The 24087-nt window shown below is 47.0% G+C and overlaps 1 long non-coding RNA gene across 1 annotated transcript, besides 1 other annotated feature; it reads left to right on the top strand.

The window, feature by feature from the left end:
• Positions 1-2963: 2963 nt before the first annotated feature.
• LINC02812 (long intergenic non-protein coding RNA 2812) lies at positions 2964-7259 on the top strand. The gene is made up of 2 exons (XR_001738058.2): positions 2964-3107; positions 3836-7259. It is a non-coding gene; the product is annotated as a long intergenic non-protein coding RNA 2812 (long non-coding RNA).
• Positions 19127-19982: an enhancer, noted in NCBI's record as "NANOG-H3K4me1 hESC enhancer chr1:53816803-53817658 (GRCh37/hg19 assembly coordinates)". NCBI's record gives its function as "activates a minimal SCP1, AML or CMV promoter by ChIP-STARR-seq in naive H9 embryonic stem cells {active_cell/tissue: H9 hESC(naive)}" and the evidence as "EXISTENCE:reporter gene assay evidence [ECO:0000049][PMID:30033119]".

Genomic DNA, 24087 nt, shown 5'->3' with positions numbered 1-24087 from the left:
TAAGACAGTGGGAGGAACTCCTAGAGCACCCCAAAGTAGGCAGTGCACACTCCAAGGAAATGGGGTGAGGAGCCTCTATATGGGGTGGTGGAGGGAAGGGTGGGGGACCCCCTGTGGGATACGGCAGGGGGAAGCGTGGGGTGGGTGCGAAGTAGAGGACCCCCACGGGGGCAGAGGTTGTTGCCTGAGGAAACAGGTTGCCTGAGGGGCAGAAGTAGAAGCTGGGCCTCCCAACACCTGGCGTGGGTATAGCTGGGGCACAGGCATGCCTGTGGGATGCTGCAGCGCTTCCCCATGACTGGTGGGCAGGGGTTGCAGGCAGGGGCTGCTCCTCCTTGGAGGGTAACGGCACAGTCCCCGGGAGGTGAGGTAAAGCTGACTGCTGCTGGGCAGCGGGCAGGGTTGAGCCACATCCCAGGTGTGTGAGTGGTGCTGTCTGTCCTGCTTTTTCTAAGAATCAGTCTGTCTGAGGTGATGAGAGAGGGGCCCTTCGTCTCAGGTGAAGGCCCAGGGGAGGCCCAGTCACCACCCAGCCCTCCCACTGCCAGCCCCTGGTGCTGGCACGACCCATGGCTCTGAGACCTCAGCCAGGGCCCTGTGAGACCTCAAGTCTCTGGAGGGTCTGGAACTCGGTGGCCATGCCTGCCTGAGGGCCTGCTATTTCAGGGCTCACATGACCCCCACCCCAAGTGAGGGCTGCTGTCTTTTCACTTAGGGGAGCCTCCTTCCTCCTCCCTCCTGAGCTTTCCTCAGAAGGCTGCCGTCACAAGCGTCATTTTCCTAAGGTGGCTTAGAAATCCCAACCAGGAAGGGCAGGGTCTAGCAGAAAACTTCTGCTGGGGGCCCTGCCACAGCCCCCCAAGTCAGGAGAACAGAGCCCCTGCTTCAAAGAGGAAGAGGAGAAATACAGCCCCCCAAAAACAACCCAAATCAATATCCCAAATTCTGTTCCTGCCCCTCTGTAATCATTGGTAGTGGCAGCACTCTTGGAGGATACCAAGACTTATTCTATCTTGTACTAAAGTGGGTGACAGGGTGGCCTGGTGGCTATGAGGGGCAAGGCAGGGCCTAGGGCCTAAGGTCAGGAGTCATGGTGGGAGGGGCATTCTCAGTAGGGAACAGGCACCTGAGCCTTGGGTTTCTTTCTAAAAGTCCCAAGGCAAGTGGGTGGCCAGCTGGTGGGCTGTGTTTTGGGTGTCCTTGAGACATTTATGTTTGGGAACCAGTGTGGGGCAAAGGGCTCAAGCCAGGCAGGTTGGAGACCTGGCTGCCATGTGTCGGCTCTGTGACCTTGGCTGAATGTCCTGGTCTCTCCTGGGATCAAATGATACTCCTGCCCCAGCCTCCCGAGTAGCTAGGACTACAGGAAAGCACCACCACACCCAGCTAATTTTTTGTTATTGTTTATAGAGATGGGGTCTTGCTATGTTGCCCAGGCTGGCCTCAAAGTCCTGGCCTCAAGAGATCCTCTTGTCTTGGTTTCCCAGAGTACTGGGATTACAGGCGTGAGCCACTGCACCCAGCCTGTGGCTTTACCATAAACCACCTGCATGCAGTGAAGCCCAAGCTCTCCTCCTATGGCCTCAGAGCTGTCCAGTCTGGGCTGGTGCCAGACCCTCTAGCGCTCGGCACACAGGAGGTGCTCATGAACCCCAGAGGACCTTGACGTAGAGAGCTGGTGTGGTGGATGCTGCGGTAGCCTAGGAAACGAAGAGGCCAGGGGTGGGGCCCAGCCACAATTGTGGGCCCTTTCTGGGCCTCAGTTGCCTTACTGCCAGTGGGGACCATAGTTGCTGCCCTCTCCACATGCAGAACACAGGTGAAATAATAATGGCTAATCCTCATGAAGTGCTTCCCAGGGGCTCTGTTGTCCCGAGAGTCACCTGTGTATTACCTCATTTAGTCCACATACCAGCCCTGCGGGGTAGACACTGTTACTCCACTTTACAGACAAAGACGCACGGAGGATTAGATAACTTGCCCAGAGACACAGCTGATTGTGGTGAAGGCTGGCTTCAGAGTCACTGCTCGGGCCCTTCACACTGCAGGTGGCAGGCTCAGGAAGGGGTATTTGTGCTCCAGCTTCTTGGGTTGTCAGAACTGGTTCTGGTCACCTCCTAAACACTGGCAGGACTTGCCAGGGCCACAGAGCCTGATGGTGTCTGGGCTTCCTGGACTGGGGAGCTCTGCTTAGCCCCGTCAGAGTGGACCTGAGCAGGCTGAACCCCAGGGCTCAGGCTGTGGGTGGGACTGTGGGAGGAGGAAGAGAGAGGGTCTGCCGCCAGCGGACTGGGCAGCAGGATAGACTGTCAGCAGGCAGCAGCAGCCTTGGCGTCATTCCCAGTCAAGGGCAGAGCTGCGTCCCTAGAGCCGCCTCCCGCCCCTGCCAGGACCCCACAGTTTCTCCTAGGGGTGAAGAGTGGCTGCGGCCCTGGGAGGAATGGCTGAGGCCGATGCCACATGGTGAGCCTAGGCACCCGGGCCCAGCTGGCTCCCAGCCCATCCATTGCTGGGATGGAAAGGGCAGGCAGTTGGAAGGGCAAAAGAAGGAAGCAACATGCCCACAAAGCCTCTGCTGGGCTAATCCTCTTCTAGTCCCCACACGGTACGTTGCGTGGAATGGTTAGGACAGCCTGTTTAACAGAAGGGAAACTGAGGACTGGCAGTGTGGAGGAAATAGACAATTAAAAGCAAAGAGACAGCTGGGCAGGGAGTGTTTGCAGCCCTGGAGGCAGATACAAAGTTGCACCCGGGCTAAAGCCTGAGAGACAGCATTTACTGAGCACCTTTTTTGTGCCTGGCAATGTGCTCTGTTAGCTCCATTTTACAGATAAGCAATCTAAGGTTCAGAAAAGAGGAAGCAGCCAGCCTCGGGCCATGCAGCTGGCTGAGTGAGAGCTCCTAACTTGTACTTTCTCCCCTCCCCGGAAGCTTTGGTTTGTTGGGGGAAGCAGATTCATATCAGACCCAAGGCAACTCAGCTGTGATTGAGATAGACATTGAGTCTTTTGGGAGACAGAAGGGAGGGAGAGTGCCAGTCAAAAGGGTTTCGTGAAGAAGGTTGCATCTGACTGGGACAGTTAGGCCTCTGTGTACCACTTTAAAAGGTAAGACAAGGGGAAAGAGGGCATGGGGAAAAAGGACTTGGGGACAGAGGGCATGGGGGCAGGCAGGTGAGGGCCGTGCTTGGAGAATTGTGAGGGGTCCTGGGAGGCTGGATCACTGGTTGTGGGGAAGGGAGGGAGGCCAGGCAACCCCTGATGGGGTCCCCTGGGGAGATAGCCCTGGGGCTTGGAGCATGGGGATGGGAAGTGACTGGGAGGACGCTGCACAGGGCATGGGGTGTGGGGAAGTGAGTGCCAGGGAGCTGGGTGTGGAGCCAGGCACCTGCCGGGCTTCTGGGTTCCCCCAGCAGCTCTCAGGGACTCAAGCTCTGCATCAGGCACACCTCAGTTTAAGTCCTGGCTCTGCCATTACTAGCTGGGTGGCCTTGGGAAGTTGCTTGTCATCTCTGAGGCTGGCTTTTCCCCTCTGTAAGGGGAAGATAACCATAGAACTCCCTCCAGGGGTGGCTGTGTATGGCAGCTGTCAGCGCTCAGGACATTTCACTTAACCCTTCTGACCTAGGAGTTAGGAGCTATCATCGCCCTCGTTTCGTGAAGGGCTGACCAGCGACTGATCATGGCTACGATGTAAAGGTGCAGACATTTTGACCTCCCATGGGATAATTTAGATGGGCCACATGGGCTCCAGGGATGGCTGAAACTCCGTTGGAGCTGCGTCACTGTTCACCTTCTCTCTACCAAATCCTGCTTCCTCCCTATCTCTTCCCCAGGTGTTGACTTTTCTAGTAAATATCCTCCATGTCAAAGTCTATCTCAAGATCTGTTCCAGGACAACCCCGCCTGCAACAGGGCCCATTTATGTTCCAGCCAGCACGGTGATCCTGAGTCTGGGAGGGTGCCCACAGACTGCTTTTGTGAGCAGCATGCCTTCAGTGGCCAGTCCCCAAGCCCCTCAACTCCATGTGGAGCAAGGACCAACCACCCCATGGAGAAGAGGAACCCGCCTGCAAGGCGAGCCAAGAAGGGACCTTTGGAACCAGCCACACTGGACTCTGTAGGGGGCTGGATGGCTGGCCCCAAAAGGATAGGTCCATGTCCTAAGCCCCAGAACCCGTAAATATTGCCTTATTTGGAAAGAAATTCTTTGTAGATGTCATTAGGGATTTTGAGATGAAGAGATCATCCTGTATTATGCAAGTGGGCCCTCAATCCAATGGCAAGTGTCCTTACAAGAGTAAGGCAGGGCTGGGTGTGGTGTCTCACACCTGTCATCCCAGCACTTTGGGAGGCCAAGGCAGGAGAATAGCTTGAGGCCAGGAGTTCAAGACTGGCCTGGGCAACGTAGTGAGACCCTCCATCTCTACAAAAAAAAAAAAAAAAAACAGAAAAAAACCCCACAAAGAACTAGCCAGACGTGGTGGCACATGCCTATAGTCCTAGCTACTCAGGAGGCTGAAATGGGAGGATGGCTTGAGTCTGGGAGGCAGAGGTTGCAGTGAGCAGTGTTGCGCCACTGCACTACAGCCTGGACAACAGAGCAAGACCCTGTTTCAAAAAGAAAAAAAAGCGGGGGGAGTGAGGCTGAAGGAGAGACACACACCTAGAGAAGAAGGTGATGTAAAGATGCAAAAATAGGGCCAGGCGCAGTGGCTTACGTCTGTAATCCCAGCACTTTGGGAGGCTGAGGTGGGCGGATCATGAGATCAAGAGATCAAGACCATCCTGGTCAACATGGTGAAACCCCCTCTCTACTAAAAATACAAAAATTATCTGGGTGTGGTGGCGGGCGCCTGTAGTCCCAGCTACTCGGGAGGCTGAGGCAGGAGAATTGGTTGAACCCAGGAGGCAGAGGTTGCAGTGAGCCGAGATTGCACCACTGCACTCCAGCCTGGGCAACAGAGTGAGACTCTGTCTCAAAAAAAAAAAAAAAAGAAGAAGTAAAAATGGGAGTGACATGGTTACAGCCAAGGAAGCCGAAGAGGCAAGATGGGAGCCTCCCTCAGAGACTCCAGAGGCAGCACGGCCCTGCCAATGCCTTGTTTCTGCTTCAGGCCTCCAACGCTGGGAGAATAGAGTTCTGCCGCTTTTGAAGCCACTCTGTGAGAATTCCATACAGCAGTCACAGGAAACTAAGATAGCTCCCACACCCAGTTTCCACTTCACAACCTTGAGAAGCTGGGGAAGCCGTTCTGGAGGTGCCAGGGACTGGGCACCGAGCCAGCCTGGGCTGGGGTCAGAGGCAAGAGGAGAGCTCTCTAGAGGAAGCCTTTATCTTGGAGTTTGTTCTTGAGTAGGAAGTGTTCACGGGGCAGGTGGTGGTGGTGGGGCGGCGTGTGCATAATTTTCAACAGCCCAGAGAACTGAATATCATGGGGCTGTCTAGAAATTTTGACTTGCAGATATGGCAGGAATGGGAGGTACCTAGAAGGGAGAGAAGGGAGACATAACTCAACAGGAGGCCAGGGCCCGGTCGCAGAGGCCACTGCGTGCCTGTGGGAGGCTTGCTCTTGATGTGAGATTTTTCTTCTAACTTTGTATTTTAGAACAGATTTAAAGTTTCAGAAACGAATTCCAAGTTTGTATAGAGTTTATGTATACTGTTTCCCCTAATATTAGCATCTTACCTGAGTGTGGGTATATTTGTTACAATTATTGAACCTATGTCAGTCCATGAACTGAACCTATGTCAGTCATGAACTGAAGTCCATAGATGATTCAGATTTCCTTTGTTTTCCCGAACGTCCTTTTCTGGGCCGGGACCCCATCTAGGACCCCACATTGCATTCAGTCGGTGTGTCTCCCTAGGCTCCTCTTGGTTGTGACAGTTTCTCAGACTTTCCTTGTCTTTGATGACCTTGACAGTTTTGAGGAGACTGTCCTTCAATTCGGATTTGTCCCGCGCTTTTCTCACAGTTAGACTGCGGTTGTGGGTTTTGGGGAGGAAGACCACAGAAGCAAAGGGTGATTTTTACGCCATCATAACAAAGGTGTGCCCTGTCACCATGACTTACCTCTGTTACCGTTGAGCTCGGTCACCCGGCTGAGGTAGTGAGACTTCTCCACTGTAACCCTCCCTTTCCACACTGCACTCTTTGGAAGAAGGTCACTATGCACAGCCCACACTTAAGGGTGGAAAGTTATGCTCCAACTTTTTTTTTTTTTTTTTTTTTTTGAGACAGAGTCTCACTCTGTCGCCAGGCTGGAGTGCAATGGCGCGATCTTGGCTCACTGCAAGCTCCGCCTCCTGGGTTCAAGCGATTCTCCTGCCTCAGCCTCCTGAGGAGCGGGGACTATAGGTGCCTCCCACCACGCCCAGCTAATTTTTGTATTTTTAGTAGAGATGAGGTTTCACTATGTTGACCAGGATGGTCTCGATCTCTTGACCTCGTGATCCGCCCGCCTGGGCCTCCCACAGTGCTGGGATTACAGGTGTGAGCCACTGTACCCACCCACTATGCTCCAACTCCTTGAGGTGTGAGGGGTTTTAAGCAGGAAATTTGCATGGTAAGATTATCTTCTTAAAACCCAGTGTTGACAAAATGTGGGGAAGTAGACAGACACCCTTATATTCTGTTGGTGCAAGTGTAGTTTGGAGCAGTGTTTTAGGGGGACAATTTGACACATCCTTCAAATGTTACATGCATATACCCTTTGACCCAGCAAGTCAATCCTGCAGAAATGTCCACCCACAGGCAGAGCGATACCTGGACAGAATTCCAGTGGTGGCACTGTTGGTAGCCAACTAAACTGTGAAAAGAACCGAATGGTCATTTATAGGGCAATGGATGGGAAAACTGGGAGATCTGTATCATGAAATACTAAGTAGCCATCAAAGAGGAGTTAAATCTACAAGTGTGGACATGTGAAGTTCTCCAAGATAGGTTACAAGTGCAAAAGTCGTCACAGGCATATTATATGTGTGATCCGAATCCACTACATGAATAAAAAGAGCTGCACATTGGTATGTGCACATATGGATGGAAGGTGCATAGCGGGACCCACAAGGAACCAGAACTTGGCGGCTCTACGGAAAGGGACCCTGGGAGTAAGGGTGGGGACTGGGGAGGAGGGCATTTCTACTTCTCATTTTATACCTCTCTGTAGTGTTTGACATTTTGCACAATAAGCAAGTATTGCTTTCATGATAAAATGTCTTTAATATTAAAAATATTTCTTTGAAGTTTTGCATTTGAAGAAACCTCCCGTGGGTGCTTGTGAAGGGTGAGGTGGGGGATCCAGGGTGGAGTGGAGAGACCCATTAGGAGCATCCAGGGTGTTTATATGGCACCTGGGACACAGGAGAAGAAGGTGGGTTGGGGAGTTACTTAGGAAGCAGAATCGAGAGGACTGGGTATTTCTTGGTGGGAATGGGGTGGGGGCAGAGGGTGTTTCCCACAGGGCCCTGGCAGGAAGCAGATGGTGCACTCCAGATGGGGAATGGAGAAGAGTAACCAAGGTACTTGTGACTAAAGCCGGGACATGTTAAGGGAAACTAACAAGGGATGGTGCAGCACCTGGGCTGGCCACATGTGGGAGATGTCACCACCCCCAGGCAGAGGGAGGGCAAGGCCGCCGGAACCAGACAGGGTGGCTGTGGGAGAAGGTGCTTGACAGGAGGGACCAGCCTACCCATGGCCTGGAAGTAGGGGGCCTGGAGCAGACACCCCAACCTCACTCCTGCTTCCCCATCTCCTGTTGGAGATGGTACCTCCCGTTGGCCAAACCCAACTGGAAACCACAGAACTTGCCCATGCAAAGCAGCCTCCTGGGTGACAGCCAGGTAGGGAAGAGTAGAGGGGACTCAGTACCCAGAGGGAGGGGTCTAGGTTGATATCCAGATTCCTGGCTTGGGTGCCTGAGGGATGAAGGGTCCCTTGGAGGTGGGGACAGAGGAGAAGCAGGTTTGCGGGAGGGTGAGAGTACCACTGGGGTCTATTTCAGGTGGAGTGGGCTACCTGCTTCACACACAGCCCCGCAATCTGTTGGTGGTGGTGGGGTTGAGATATTGGGCTGCAGCTTGGATCCCAAAAGGCCTAGTTTCCCATGCCAGACCCTTTAACTACGGTGACCCTTTGAGTTCACCCACCCCGCTCAGGCACACAGGCCTCTGTCTGAGTGTAAAATGGGCCCTAGATGGCTTTTGTTGGGGGCACACATCAGAGGCGCTGGGCCTCCCCCAGTTCTTCAGAGTTGTCAGGGTCACTGCTCTGGGACCCACGGACTCGTGGGTGTGTGATCTGGCCCTGTAAGGCAGCCTAGGGACACAGGGTCTCAGGCTGGGTGAAGGAGAATGGAGGGGGTGTCTTATCAAAGCTTACAGGGACTAGCCTCGGGACTGGAGGGCCTTGGGCCACAGCATTATACCCAGGCAGGAGCAGATCTTGAAAGAGCTTGATTTTCTATGAAAGGGTCAGCTGTGAGGGAGGCAGTGGGAGGGGGCACAGTCCCACCACCCTGTAGGGGACTGGAGTTCCTCCAGGATGGCGACCAGCTCCTCAGAGGAATGAAGACCCCAGAACAATGTAAATAGGGTGTTTGCAGGGAGAACAAGGAACCCATTGGCACCATCAGCACATTCCACAGGATTCTATAATCAGATTAGCTCCCAGGAGGGCCCAGGAGGGACGGGACAATGGGGTGGAGCAGAAAAGGGGCCAGGAACCACCTCTGTGCTGAATTTGCCTACTCTTCCCTTCCCTATCCCATTCTAATGCTTTTAAATCTCTCCACCTGATTGCCCCTCACTGATCCTAAGGGGAAGCAGCCTGTGTGAGGAAAGGGACTTGTCTAGGGTCATACGCATTTGTCAAGGACTTACTCCTGACCTCGAATTCTGCCCTTTCTTTGTGGGAGGCTATTTTCCCAGCCCCCTTTGGTGACAGGCTCACCCCCACTCCCTACAACGCTGGTACATAATTTATGAGATCCAGTGTAAAATGAAAATGTAGCGCTCCTTGTTAAAAAATTATCAAGCATTTCAGGATGATGCCTGCAGAGCATTAAACCCTTCCGAATGCAGAGTCTTGTGCAGTTGCACAGATCGCAGGCCCTGGCAGCCGGCCTCGCCCTCAGTGCCGCTTAGTGCTGGCCTCCTCCTTCCTCCACCCCATGGCCCCAGTCACCCCCTAGAACCCAGCACCCCATCTGCCCTGGAAGAAAAGCCCTCCTAGGCTCCAGGTTAGGCCAGGGGCTCCTGGGTGTCCTACAGACCCTGGGTGTCCCTAGATGGCACTGGGAGGCATCATCTCTAGCAGTCTGTGGGCTTCCTGAGGGACTCCCCCAGAGTCTGCAGCACCTGGCACAGGCCTGTGGGTATTTTGTGAGTGACAGAGTGTATGTCTTCTGGCTAGGACATTTAGGGCAGCTTGGAAGCCCCTCCCACTCTGACTCCCTGCGCACAGCCAGGGGAAGCTCCCAGACTCAGCACTTCCTTCTGGGTTCACCCAGGTCCAATCAGGACCCACAGCCAGGCCTTCCCATTCTCTGGTTCCCCACGTGTGGGCGGCAAGCCACCCAGGCGCCAAGGCAAGAGACCGAGGACACGAGCTGTTCCAGTATAATAAAATATAAAACAAGAATAGTTATACCAGATATAGATCTTAGATATGATTATATATGAATATCATTAATCATTAGTTTGTAGCAATTACTCTTTATTCCAATATTATAATAATCCTCGCTCTATAATCATAACCTAGGAAAAACCAGGCCATACGGAGATAGGAGCTGAGGGGACACAGTGAGAAGTGACCAGAAGACAAGAGTGCGAGCCTTCTGTTATGCCCAGACAGGGCCACCAGAAGGGCTCCTTGGTCTAGCGGTGACGCCAGCGTCTGGGAAGACGCCCATTGCCAGGCGGACCGTGGTCTAGCAGTAGCGAAAAGTGTCATGGAACAACACCCGCTACTTAGCAGACCGGGAAAGGGAGTCTCCCTTTCCCCAGGGGAGTTTAGAGAAGACTCTGCTCCTCCACCTCTTGTAGAGGGCCTGACATTAGTCAGGCTCGCCCGCAGTTATCTAGAGGCCTAACCGTCTCCCTGGGATGCTGTGCTTCAGTGGTCACGCTCCTAGTCCACCTTCATGTTCCATCCTGTACACCTGGCTCTGCCTTCTAGATAGCAGTAGTAAATTAGTGAAAGTACTAAAAGTCTCTGATATGCAGAAATAATGGCGTAAGCTGTCTTTCTCTTTGTCTCCTCTCTCTCTCTGCCTCGGCTACCAGGCAGGGAAGGGCCAGCCCCCTGTCCAGTGGACATGTGACCCACGTGACCTTACCTATCATTGGAGATGACTCACACTCTTTACCCTGCCCCTTTTGCTTTGTATCCAATAAATAACAGTGCAGCCAGACATTCGGGGCCACTACCGGTCTCCGCGCATTGGTGGTAGTGGTCCCCGGGGCCCAGCTGTCTTTTCTTTATCTCTGTCTTGTGTCTTTATTTCTACACTCTCTCATCGCCACACACAGGGAGAGACCCACCAACCCTGTGGGGCTGGACCCTACACCCACTCCAGGATGGGATGGCCCCTCCCTTTATTGGAAAAAAAGTGAGGTCTAAGGCAGATTAAGGCGATAAGGGGATTCCGCAGAGAGCAGCTGTAAAGCTCTGTGACAGGGTGAGAATTAGTAGATTAATATCCGGGGCCAGGTTCTGGGCTCTGGGCTCTGGACTCTGGGCCCACATCTTTGCTGATAAGTGTTGGTTCCTGTCCTTCCAGACAGAAGGAGTTGTACTTCTGGAACAGATAATTGACATTATTCCCATTGTACAGATGAGAAACTACAGCTCAGAGAGGTCAAAATGCTTAAAGATGGCTGATGTGCAATTTAAACCTAGTTCTGGCCCAAACTGCCTCCCAGGTCCTTGGGCTGAGTCATGTCCTGCCCCTACCCTCATGGCCCTCACTGTCTAGTCACTGAGATACACACGGAGTGAGACACACAGGGAACTCAGTGGAGGGAGAGGTCTTTGTGGGTAGGGCAGTCATGGGAGACTTCCTGGAGGAGGTAGAGGAGGTAGACAGATGAGCTGTCTTTCAAGGTCAAACGTTATTCTCTTCAGGGTACCTGTTGCAGGTGTGCAGAACAGCCTGAGCAAAGAGGTAGAGGAGGGCTGGACAAGGAGGGTCTGGGATCTCCATACAGGACCTAGGAGTCCAGAGGTCCTGACAGGGGTCCCTGGGTGGACAGCAACCAGGCTGAAGCCCTTGGCCTTTGTCCTCTGGGCCAGGGAGCTCTGGATGGGGGCAGGCTGGACACTCTGGGGCAGCTATACGCAGGAAGGGGCTCTATTCTGGGCTGCAAGAAGCAGAGAGGAGCTCAGCTGCAGGAAGGCCATGGGGTCAAACATGGGGCGGCAGAAGGAGATAATCAAGGATCTGTCTCACATAATTTGTCCTGCTGACTAATTCCTGGCCCAACTTGGTCCAAGGATCTGCAGAAATCTCCGTTCCAGCAGGCAGCCCCCCACTGCACAGGGTGACAGCAGGCCCAGAAGCCCAAGGGTCTGCCATCTCTTGTTTGGGTGCTTACACTACCCAGGTCCCAGGACAGAGTTACAAGAGAGGAAGGCAGTGATGATCAAGCTCCCAGAAACACTCATTTGGCAGATGGAAACACTGAGGCTGGCAATAGGAAAGGACTTACCCCAGCCTATACCCCAGCTAATAGAGGGAGTGGCAGGCTGAGTGCATTGATCTAGGATGGGTCTTTTTGTTCTTTTTGGAAAGAGGAACAAACATCGGTGAGCATGCACATGTCAGGGGCCACTGGGGTAGGCATTATGGTTTGTCTTGAGTGTGTAATATGACATCAAGCTCAGAGAGACTAAATTCCCTGTCCAAGGACACACAGCTAAAAAGTGGGCAGGTGACTTCTTTACCAAGTCTCAGTTTTCTCATCTGTGCAAGGTGGGATCGGGCTGGGAGAGGCTCACAAGGAGCAAAAAAAAGGGCTTGAGAACCTCTCCACACTTGTCCATGAGACTGGCTCCTGGCAACCAGAGTTAGATCTAGAGGCTTGAATGTATAGCAAAAGTAATTCATAGACAGTATTGTGAACTTCTATCAGGAGGAATTAAATGTGAGGTTGTCCTCATTTTGTGATATTAGCTGCTATTTAAGAACATTGACTAGATCCATTTTCCCATTATTTAACTAGGGCTTGCAAAATGAAGATATTCTGATATTTCTTTATCATTTGTTAGCTAAAATATCTCTATCAAGGGAAATTTCTCTTTTTCAACTATTAGTTTACCATGAGGCATAGTCACTGCAGGTGTTCCAGTCTAAACAAGTATGTGATGGGATTAAATTTGCCTTTTCTGAAAGAAAATCTCAAAGGACCAAATAGTGTAATATAAACAAAGAAAATTGTTAAGCAAATTGTTTACAAAGTTGTTTACCTTGTGGTAAACTAATAGTTGATAAAGAGAAATTTCCCTTGATAGAGATATTCTAGGTAACACATGATAAAGGAATATCAGAATATCTTCATTTTGCAAGTCCCCAAAACCACTATACTTTAAAGATTCACAAGTAAATTCTTCAAAGCCTTTTAGAAATAGATATCTCCAATGCTACATAAGTGGTTCCAGAGCATAGAAGAGCTTCCAGTTATTTTTCATGAATGCCATTTAACATTGATAGCAAAATGCAAGAAAGCACAGAATAGAACACAATAAGTCAGCTCACATTAACATTGAGGTTGCAACTATCCTAAGTAAAGAAATAGTTTTAGGAATATACTTTAAAATACAGACACATATTAAGGAAATAGCTTACTGTTGTAACAAACCTTTGGAGTTTATACCAGAAATGCAAGGATGGTTCAATTTTAGAAAATCAACTAATTTAGTTGATTTTACATTACATTACATTACATTACAATCAATAATGTAATATTAATATAAATGTCATGTAAATATAGTACATCAAAAGAGGGGAAAATCATGTTATTTTCCCTATAGATATCAAAAAGGCATTTGATAAAATTCAACATCCATTCCTGATTTTTAAAAACTTCTTGATAAAATAGAAATAGGTGGATATTTCCTTAATGAGACAATATCAAAGCAAATGCCATCCATTTGCATAATGATGAAAAATTTGAAGGATTCCCAACAAATTTGTGAGCAGGACAAGGATGTCCCCTTTCACCAGCCTTAGTTGACATTACTTTGGAGATATCAGCCACTATAATTTCACAAAAAAGAGAGGTATAAGTATTGGAAAGAAATAAAGAGACAAAAGTGCTGTGTTATTTGCATATGATATGATTATACACTTGAAAAACCTTAAAAAACTATTACAAATAAGATGATTTGGTGTGATAAATGGGTAAAAATTAAAATATAAAAATTAATAACTTTCTTATATGACAATGAGTTAGAAAAGATAAAGATTCCATCTATAAAAGTAGCAAAAATTATAAAATATCTTGCAACACATTTAATAGGAAACATGCAAGATCTATATAAAAAAATTTTAATGTTACTGGACACCTAAAACACAATAAGAATAAATAGAAAGAGGTGTCCTATTTTGGAAAGGAAGATAGTATTTTAACAAAATCAGTTCCCTAAATTAATGTATACATTTAGAATGATTCCAATAAAAATGAAAATAGAGTTCTTCCTCAATATATAATGGCTAGAATATGGTAGATATTTAATTTTAGCTTATGTGAAGTTCAAAATAGATATTCCTGATTGGCAGGTTTTTCTCTCTCTGTTTCTTTCTCTCCCTCCCTTTCTCTCTTTACTTCCCCTCTCCTATTCAGATTTCTTTAATCCTGTGTCTCTCTTGTTTTCAACACATGGTTTCCAAGGTGACTGTGCTCATCTGCCTCCAGCTGGTAGAGGAACATGAATGACCAAACATTGAAGGTTTTTAAGGCCAGTCCTAGAAGTGATACACATCACTTCCACTCACATTCCATTGGCTAGAATTCAATCAATCATATGACCACATTTAATTACAAGAAAGGCTAGGATATGTAGTCTATCTGGTTGCTTAAGAAATAGAAGAATTGAGTTGAAGCACTTTTTGTCATGGGAAAATTGACAGATTCTAAAGGTCACATGAAAAACATTCAAGGATAGCTGGGGAACATTATAGATAATTTTATGCAAATTTTGACAACTTAGATGAAATGGACAATTCCTTAAAAATGCAACTCTAGCAAAACTGACAAAAGAAGAAATAGAGAACCCAAATAGTCCTATATCTACTAAAGAAACAAAATTTACAATAAAAACCCTTCCCACAAAGAAAACTCCAGGTCCAGATGGTCTTTGCTGGTGAATTCTATTAAACTTTTAAGGAAGGAAGAAATAATACTAATTCTACACAAACTATTTCAGAAAATAGAGCTTTTAAAAATCAGCAATAAATGCCAGTTTTTGTCATTTATAGAGAAAATAATATGAACACTTCCTAACTCATTTTAGGAGACCAGTATAATCCTGATATCAAAACCCAGTAAAGATACTACAAGAAAAGGAAGTGCAGACAAATATTCCTCATGAATAGAGATGTGAAAACTTGTAACAAAATATTAGTAAATTGAATCCTGCAATATATTAAAGGAATAATACATCATAACCAAGTGAGATTCGTTCCAGAAGTGCAAGATTAGTTTAACATTCAGAAATGAATGTAATTCACCATATTAACAAAATAAAGGAGAAAATTCACGTGATTATTTCTATAGGTGCAGAAAAATCATTTGGCAAAATTCTAAATCTATTCATTATAAAAAAACTGTCAGCAAACTAGAAGTAGATAGTAAATTACTCGAACTGATAAAGGCCATCTACAGCTAACATCATGCTTAATGGTGAAACATTTAATCTTTTTTTCCTAAGTTCAGCAATGAGGCAAGAATGTGTATTTGACGTTGAGTTGGAAGTTTTAGTGCATTAAAGTAAGATAAATAAAAGGGGCCAAGCATGGTGGCTCACACCTGTAATCCCAGCACTTTGGGAGGCCAAGGCAGGAGGATCACTTGAGGCCAGGAGTTCAAGACCAGCCTAGGCAACATAGTGAGACCTTGTTTCTAAACACACACACATACACACACACACACACACACACACACACAGTAGCCTGGCTAATGATAATTAGCTACTCGGATGGCTGAGGGGGGAGGATCACTTGAGCCAAGGAGGTTGAGGTTACAGTGAGCCATGATCATGCCACAGCACTGTAGCTTGGGTGACAGAGAGTGGCAGACCGAGACCCTGCCTCAAAAAAACCAAAATAAAAAACACAAACGTTGGAAAGGAATGAGTTAAAATGTGGAATTTGCAGATGATATATTGTTCAATCAGAAAACTGTGGAATTTATGAAGAATTCCTAGAACTAGTAAATAAATTTAGCAAGTTTGCAGGATATGAGGTGAGTTTATAAAAATCAATTTTATTTCTATATACTAGAAAAAAACAATTGAAATTTTAAAATATCATTTACATTGTCATCAGAAAATATCAAATACTAGAAACAGCAAATAAAATATATGTAAACGTGTCTAAAAATATGGCTAAGAGAAGACTTGATATGGTTAAGATGTCCATTCTCCCCAAAATGACCTATCGATTCAACACAATCCCTATTATAGTAAGAGTAGGCCCTTTTAAAGAAGTAGACAAGTTGATCTGAAAATTTACGTGAGAATTTAAGCATCCAGAATAGCTAAAACAATCTTGAAAATGAAGAACAAGTTTGAAGAACACTGCCTGACTTAACGACTTACTATAAAGCTACAGTAATCAAGACAATGTGATATCAATGTAAGCATATGCAAATAGAACAAAGGAACAGAACGTAAAATTCAGAAATAGATCTCATGTATATGGTTGAGTTTCAACCAAAGGACCAAAACAATTTACCGGGGAAGGAACTTCTTTTTGAACAAATGGTGTTGGAACAACTGTATATCGACATGGGAAAATGTTAAAGTCCTTATCTCACTCCAAACACAAACATTAATTTATATGGATCGTAGAAATAAATGAAAAAGCCATAATCATAAAATTTCTAGGTAAAAAATAGAATGTTTTTGGGACGCTGAGGTAAGCAAAGATTTCTTAGAAGTCAGGACATAAAATAACCATAAAAGAAAACAATTTATAAATTTTGAAATTAGACACTTCTGCCATCAAAAGACATCATTGAAAAAATGACTTTGGGATGCAAAAGCGGTATTATCGCTTGAGCCCGGGAGTGCAAGACCAACCTAAGCAACATAGTGAGACCCCCATCTCTACAAAAAAAAAAAAAAAAATTAGCAGGATGTGGTGGCATGTGTTGGTGGTCTCAGCTACTCTGGAGGCTGAGGTGGGAAGATTGCTTAAGCCCAGGAGGTCAAAGCTGCAGTGAACCATGATTACACCACTGCACTCCAGCCTGGGTGACCCTATCTCAAAAAAAAAAAAAAAAAAAAATAGTGTGCGTGTGTGTGTGTGAGAGAGAGAGAATGAATAGGTGAGTTACAGATTGGTAGAAAATATTCACAAAACATAAATACGTGTATGTCTGTGTGTGTGTGTGTGTGAGACAAAGGACTGGTATCCAGGATATATCAAGTACTCCTACAACTCAATAATTAAAAAGATAAACAACCTAATTTTTAAGTTAGGCCAAAGATTTTCATGGACACTTCACAAAAGTTATGCAAATGGCCAATAGGCAAATGAAGAAATGCTCAACACCATTAGTCATCATGTAAATACAAATTAAACCACAATAAGATACAACCACCCAACCACCAGAATAGTTAAAATTGAAAAGATTGACAACCCCACAAATATAGCAAATGCTGTAGATCAGTTGGAATTCTTATATACTGTTGGCAGGAATAGAAAATGGTACAACCATTTTTTTTAAGTCTGATAGTTTCTTATGTGACATTACTTTGGAGATATTAGCCTCTATAATTTCACAAAAAATAGGGGTATAAGTATTGGGAAGAAATAAAGAGACAAAAGTGCTGTGTTAACACCTACCCTCCACCAAGAGAAATGAAAAAAATAGCAGTTACACCAAGAGAAATGAAAAAATACGTTCACAAAAAGATTTGTATAAGAATGTTCATAACGGCTTTATTCATAGTTGTCCAAAACTGGAAACGGTCCATGTGTCTATTGGTAGGAAACTGGCTAAAGAGACTGGATTATGCATGTAATGAAACATCGTGGAGCAATCAAAAGGAGCAAACTGTTGCTTCACAGAACAACCTGGATGAAATTTTAGAACAAGCCAAACAAATCTGTGATGAAAAACCTCAATTGTTGCCTCTGGGATGATGGGAGTGGAGACTGACCAGGAAGGAGCATGAGGGAATCTTCTGGAATGATGGAAATGTTTTATGTTTTATTTTAAATAGTTACACGTGTATATGATTGCCAACACTTACCAAACCAAACACTTGAAAATCTATGCATTTTTTATATCTAAAATAGACCACAATAAAAACTAAAAGAAGAGCTAGGAAGATAACAAGAAATAAAGAATCCAGAATTAGACACAAACACATATGAGAATGTAGTTTTTCTAATGAGTGGGTAAAAATGGATTATTTAATAATGATATTTAGGTGACTGGAAAAAAGTAGGTTGAGACTGCATATCACTTCTTACACCGACATTAATTTTGAATGGATCAAAGATCGAAAGATAAATAAATGAAACCACGAAAGTACTGAAGCAAACATGTTTCATTCTTTTGTTGTTCTTTGTCCGGAAAGGCGAAGGCCTTTCTCAAAATAATTCAAACCCAGAAGTCGTAAAAAAAAAAAAAAAAAAAAGATAAATATGATCACACTAAAATTAACCACATCTGATTGGGGGGGGGAGGGGAATACCACAAATAAAATGGAAAGAAAATGAATAAACTATTATATAAAGAGAGACCACTCTTTTTTTAAAGATTAATAACCCAAGAAAAAAATGGGCACAGGGCATGGACAGATGGCTCACAGAAAGTATATGCAAATGGCTTCCAAATACATGAAAAGATGTCCCCCTAAATTACAATAAGAGAAGATGCCAATACAAATGACATGAAGTTACAATTTTCCCCAGCTAGATAACACAGATAAAAAATTTTGATAATATCTTATGTTGGTAAGAGTGGAGGGCAGTAAACTCTCTCCTGCCTTGTTAATGGGAATATAAATTGATAACTCTTGGGAGGACATTCTGGCGATATCTATCAAATACAAAATTGCACTCACCCTGTGACCCAGGCATTCAGCTTCCAGGAATTAATTCAACAGATACACTTCCACATGTCCAGAAAGATGAATGACAGAGATATCCATTGCATCCCTGTTCACAGTGGCAAATAATAGCCATCAGGAGGATGCTGGTTAAATAAATGACTGTGTCTTGATATAATGGAATTCCTTGAGATTGCTTGAAGTACACCAGAGCAGTTGAATGTGGTCCCTCAGAACACAGACTCTGGAGCTAGGATGCCTGGCTCCTAACCCCAGCTCTGCCATTTACTGACTGTGTGACCTAGAGCCAGTTCCCTAACCTAATCTCTCTGTGCCTCAGTTTTTGTTATCTCTAAAATGGGACTGGTAAGAATGATAATGATGATAGTATAATAACAGCAGCAACAACAATAATAACAATAATGTCACCTACCTCAAAACTGTGCTGAAAATTAAATAAGCAAATATACACAAAGCATTTAGATCAGTGGTCTATGGTAAGGACCGTGTGTGTAGGCTGCAATTGTTACTGATCTAAAACAATTTCCAAAATATATTAAGTACAAAAAAACAAGATATGGTTTCAGTGATATAAAATTGGAGTCTTCAGGATAGTTCTACATACTTATGCTTGTATAGGCATGAAATATCTCTAGAAGGGTACATTTTAGAACAAGCAAAACAAATCTGTGATGAAAAATCTCAGTTGTTGCCTCTGGGATGATGGGAGTGGAGACTGACCAGGAAGGAGCATGAGGGAATCTTCTGGAATGATGGAAATATTCTCTGTTTTATTTTGAATAGTTACACGTGTATACAGTTGTCAAAACTAAAAACTACAAATTGCATCTGAGGAGTAACCAGCAGTGGGAGACACAGTTCTTACCGAGTAACTTTTATACTTTTACGTATTTTTTTTTACAAAGTATATGTTATCTATTCCAAAATTTTAGTATCAAAAAAGACATACTTTGAAAAGAAAGTCCCTTGTGTTCTGATTATGGTGGTGGTTACATACGTTTGTACATGAGTTAGAATTCATAGGATTGTACATCAAAAGAAAAAAATAAATTTTACTACATAATTTTTTAAAAATTAAAAAAGAGAAAGTCCCTTTGGCCTCAATACATAATACAGCGCAAGCCTGGGGGATGGGACACCAGCAAGGAAGTGACTGCATTTTGTGGAGGAAGAAAGTCTTGGAGCCAGGGAAGGAACCACAGCAGCGGGAACAGAGAGAAGAGGGTTCGGGGCTGTGTGGGGAGGCGCCTGGGCTTGATGCTTCTGTGAAACACACACTGTCTGCCAGGCACTGTCCCTGTGCTCTCTCCTCATCACAACCCCAAGAATGGCAGCTGCAGCCATTCCTAGTCTCTGTGAGGTTCAAATGACTGGCCCGGTGTGTAAGCAGCAGGGCCTCTGAACCAGGCCTGTCTGACTCTAAAACCTGTGCTCTTTTTAGCACAGGAGGTTCCTTTTCCCCCAGTAAATTAGATCCAGGGGAGTCTGGGAAGACTTCACAGAGGAGGCGACATTTGAACTGGAGCCTGGCTGAGTTTATCTAGGACTTCCATCCTGCACAATCCTAAGCAGTGCCATTCACAATGTGTTCTCTGGGACTGGGTCTCCCTGCAGTTGTGCAGTGCACAACCTGCACAGCCATAGGCAGCAACTCTGAGTTCTTCACACAGAGATGGAGGTGTATGAGGAAGATTTTGCTGTATAACAAGTCACCTTCCAAATGCAGTAGTTGCTTTAAAACAATCGGCATTTACAGGCCAGCAGGGCAGTTCTTTTGATCTCAGCAGGATTTGTTCCTCTACCTGAGTCAGCAGGTGGGTCAGCTTAGGGTGATCAAACATCCTGATTTTCCTAGGACTGTCCCAGTGATAGCCCTGAAAGACCCATGTCCCAGGAGAAACCTTAATCCTGGGCAAACTGAGACAATTCGGTGACCCTGGTTGACTAGGGGCTGTCAGGTCTGGGTGGGCCTGGGCTGCGGTGGCTGAGGCCTCCCTCCATGGGGTCTCTCATTCTCCAGCAGCCAAGCCCAGTCATTCTCATGGCAGCAGTGATGGGCCAGGACAGTGAAAAGAAGCATGTAGGGCCTCTTTCTTACAGCTGAGGCTGAGAACTGGCCTGTCATCGCTGCTGCCACATTCCGTTGGTCAAAGCAAATCATAAGGCCAGCCCAGATGGAGGGGTAGGAAAATGGCACCCCACCACCACCCGCTTGATGGAGGAACTGTGAAGTCACACTGCAAGGGTCACAGATATGGGAGGAGGGTGGAGACCTGGGGCCAAGTGTGTAATCAACCTGTCACAGATGGGACATCCTGACTCAGGTGCAACAATAAACACAGTGACATCAACACAACTGCCCAGTGGAACCATAAATGCTTATTGTTTTAAACCAACAGGTGCAACTGGGAGGCAGTTTATTACACAACAAAATCCAATTGACGCACCTTCCCTAACTCATCTGATATATTTGGGGAGTGGCAGGAAGTTCAGTGTGGCTGGAGCATGGTGGGGCTGTCGGAAGGTGAGGAGAGAGAGAGAGAGAGAGAGAGAAGAATGGCTGGGGCCAGGTGTTTTCTCCTAGACCAGCAGGATGAGAATAGGAGAAGGACCATTATTCCTTTACACAGGTGGGAAAGACTGAGGCCCAGAGAGGGCAGTCATGCGCTCAAGACCACACAGCCAGTCAGCACAGTCAGGGATTGGAGCCAGGACTTTCCCTGCTGGGCCAAGGGAGGACATGGGAGGAAGGAGGGGCTTGGAGGTACTTTTGTAATTTCTTTACTCAAGGCCAAGAGGCCATCAGCTATTTGTAAAGAAATGGGGGTGGGGGCTACTGTTAGAGATGGGTGGGTATTGAAATCACTGGAACTCCCCAGGGCACTTGCACTCCTGCAAGCCTGTGTTTATTTCTTTCTTCAATTTGAATGATTTTTTTTCCTTCAAAAATTCCCTGGTGCTCCCTCCGTATTATTAGGTAGCAAATGGATCTGCAGGTGTTTAATGAGGTTGGAAAATAAAGGATCCAGAAGCCTTGACCAGGGTTCTCTTGCCTCCCGGGGAGGCCCCTCAGGCCAGGAACCAGGCCAGGTCTAGGGGAAGGGCCTCCCCGGCAATGTTCTGACCAAACCAGCCCCTGGCAGTCCCACTGACCGGCCACTGGCTTGTAGCAACTTTGGACTAGCCACTTCCCTCCTGAGACCTTGGGCTCCTCCTCTGTAGCTTGATGGGGTAACAAGGTGAGACTCAGTGTGTGTGGTAGGATTAGAGACACCAAGGAGCATCCTGGCATTGCAGGCCGGAGGCCTGGTTTGAGCAAACTGGTGGTGGCCAAACCAACAGGGACCTGTGCAGGGGACATTACTACCCCCAAAGTGGCTTAGAGGAAGTTGGCAGAGTGCGGCACCCCACCAGTGACTGTGAGGAGACAGGAGGGGCTCTGTCCTCTCTTGGAAAGGGCAGACGGTATTCTGTTTGACCAGCAAGCCTACCGCGTGCCCAGGGCTTACACATACCCTACATTGACCCATGGCGGCTTCTCTGCACTCCTAGGGGGAGCCGTCGGCTGCCCCAGAGGACAGATGAGGAAACCAAGGCTTGGGAGGAGAAGCGGCGCATCCTGTGGCACACAGTAGGTGTGACACAAGACAGCTGACTCTGGCTTCCAGGCTCTTCCCACAGATCTGCAGAGCTTCTGCCCTCCCAGCCCCACCTGCCAGGACTAGGTCCTCTCCGCCGGCCCTGCAGCTGCGTTCTCTGCCTCTGCTCTGTGGACTGATGCCTCACACGAGCTCCCTGGCCTCTGGCTTCTGGTGGGTTTGCTCAGCAGGAAGGAGCAGCAGGAGCTCTGGGGGTGGGAAGGAGAGAGAGGCTGGCAGGTTCACTCCCTGGTGCCGTCCCTGCTGAGCCAGTTGTGTTCCTGTACCGAAGGCCACTGGCCCTCTTCCACTGCCTCAGCCCTCACGTGGCTCCAGGACCGCTGCCCGCTTTGCCCTGCGGGTCCAGGGGTAGTAACTGCTCCCCACTGTTGCTGTCTCGGGGAATTTAACCATCCCTTCACCTGTCATTAAACTCACTCTGTCACACCTATGAGAGGGACCCTGGGAGACACCCTGCCCCCACTCCCAAAGAGCTCTGGGCTTTGTCACCCACACTTCCTCCTCTCCCCTCTCCAGCCTCCCCATGCCCTCTCTTGTGAACAGTCCATCAGGGCTGGGAGGAAAGCAGGATGAAACCAGTTCCCAGCGAAGCAGCATTCGCCAGCATTTACTTCATACCTCCCTTTAATCAACTCACTTTTCTCTAAAAGCTTTAAAAAAAAATGAACCTGGGTATTTTTTAAGTAACTATTTAGTTTAGGACAGTTTTAGATACACAGAAATACTGTGAAGGTAGTTCAGAGATCAACTCACTTCTTAAACTTTATTTTAAAAGGAAACGTTTCATTATTTCTACAAATGGAAAACCAGTATGACTTGCCTCAAGTAGACTTTAATCTTAAAAATGAACAGTGAAAACAACACAATGTTATTAAATTTTAAAAATTAAAATAAAGAATTAACAGCCCTATACAAGCCGTAATAAATCTGACATTACAAAAATGCAGTCTGTGCAGAGTTGGCTGGGTGTGTGTGTGTGTGTGTGTGTGTGTGTGTGTGTGTGTGTGTGTGTGTGTGTGTCTAGGAATAAGAGGAGACAATTCAACCCCCTCGCAGTGCTGGGCCATCACCAGGTGCCACGTGGCTATTCTCCATGGCCCATGTTAATGACCCTGCTGAGAGCTCGCCAAAGAATGGGCCAACCATGGCGCAGCCCACATTTATGGAGCACCCGCCTTGTGTGGGCTCCATTCTGACGACTTACATATATTCCCATCACAGCCTCCCAAACACCTGATGGGGTAGTATGTACGTCATTATCTCCACTTTTTAGGTGAAGAAATGGAGGCCGGTTAAGTAACTGGTTCAAGGCCACAGCCAGGAGCCACATCAAGGTAGCTGGACCCCAAAGCCTGCACTTTTACCCACTATGTTCTGCTACCAAGAGCTGGAAAAAGGGGAACTGTCTTTAAATAGGAGTTCAACAGGGGCATCTCCTCAGTTTTATCTCCCCCAACGAACTTTGTACCCTGAAATTTCTCAGTGACACAGAAAAGTTGAAAATGTGCTCCTCCTTCACCTTCTGCCATGATTGTGAGGCCTCCCCAGCCATGTGGAACTGTGAGCCCATTAAACTTTCCTTTATAGGCCGGGCACAGTGGCTCATGCCTGTAATCCCAGCACTTTGGGAGGCTAAGGCGGGCGGATCACTTGAGGTCAGGAGTTCAAGACCACCCTGGCCAATACGGCAAAACCTCCTCTACTAAAAATACACACACAAAAAAAATTAGCTGAGCGTGGTGGCGCATGCCTGTAATCCCAGCTACTCGGCAGGCTAAGGCAGGAGAATCGCTTGAACGCAGGAGGCGGAGGTTGAGTGAGCTGAGATCACACCACTGCACTCCAGCCTGGGCAACAGAGCGAGACTCCGTCTCAAAACAAAAACAAAAACAAAAACAGAAACAAACAACAACAAAAAAAACCTCCTTTCTTTTATAAATTACACAGTCTCCAGTATGTCCTTATAGCAGAGTTAGAATAGACGAATACACTCTCCCTCCCCCAGTTTGCTTCTCCCTTCACCCATTCCCACTGATGGGGAGCAGGCAACACCCTCTTCCTGGCTGGGAGGCCTGGCTGACAAAATCCCGAGCTGGACCAGATAGTGGCAAGTGCCAGCTG

This window comes from Homo sapiens, chromosome 1, assembly GCF_000001405.40.
Source record: "Homo sapiens chromosome 1, GRCh38.p14 Primary Assembly".
In the NCBI taxonomy this organism is placed as follows: domain Eukaryota; kingdom Metazoa; phylum Chordata; class Mammalia; order Primates; family Hominidae; genus Homo; species Homo sapiens.
The sequence above is the reverse complement of the archived record's forward strand: the minus strand, read 5'-3'. Positions and strand labels throughout refer to the sequence as shown.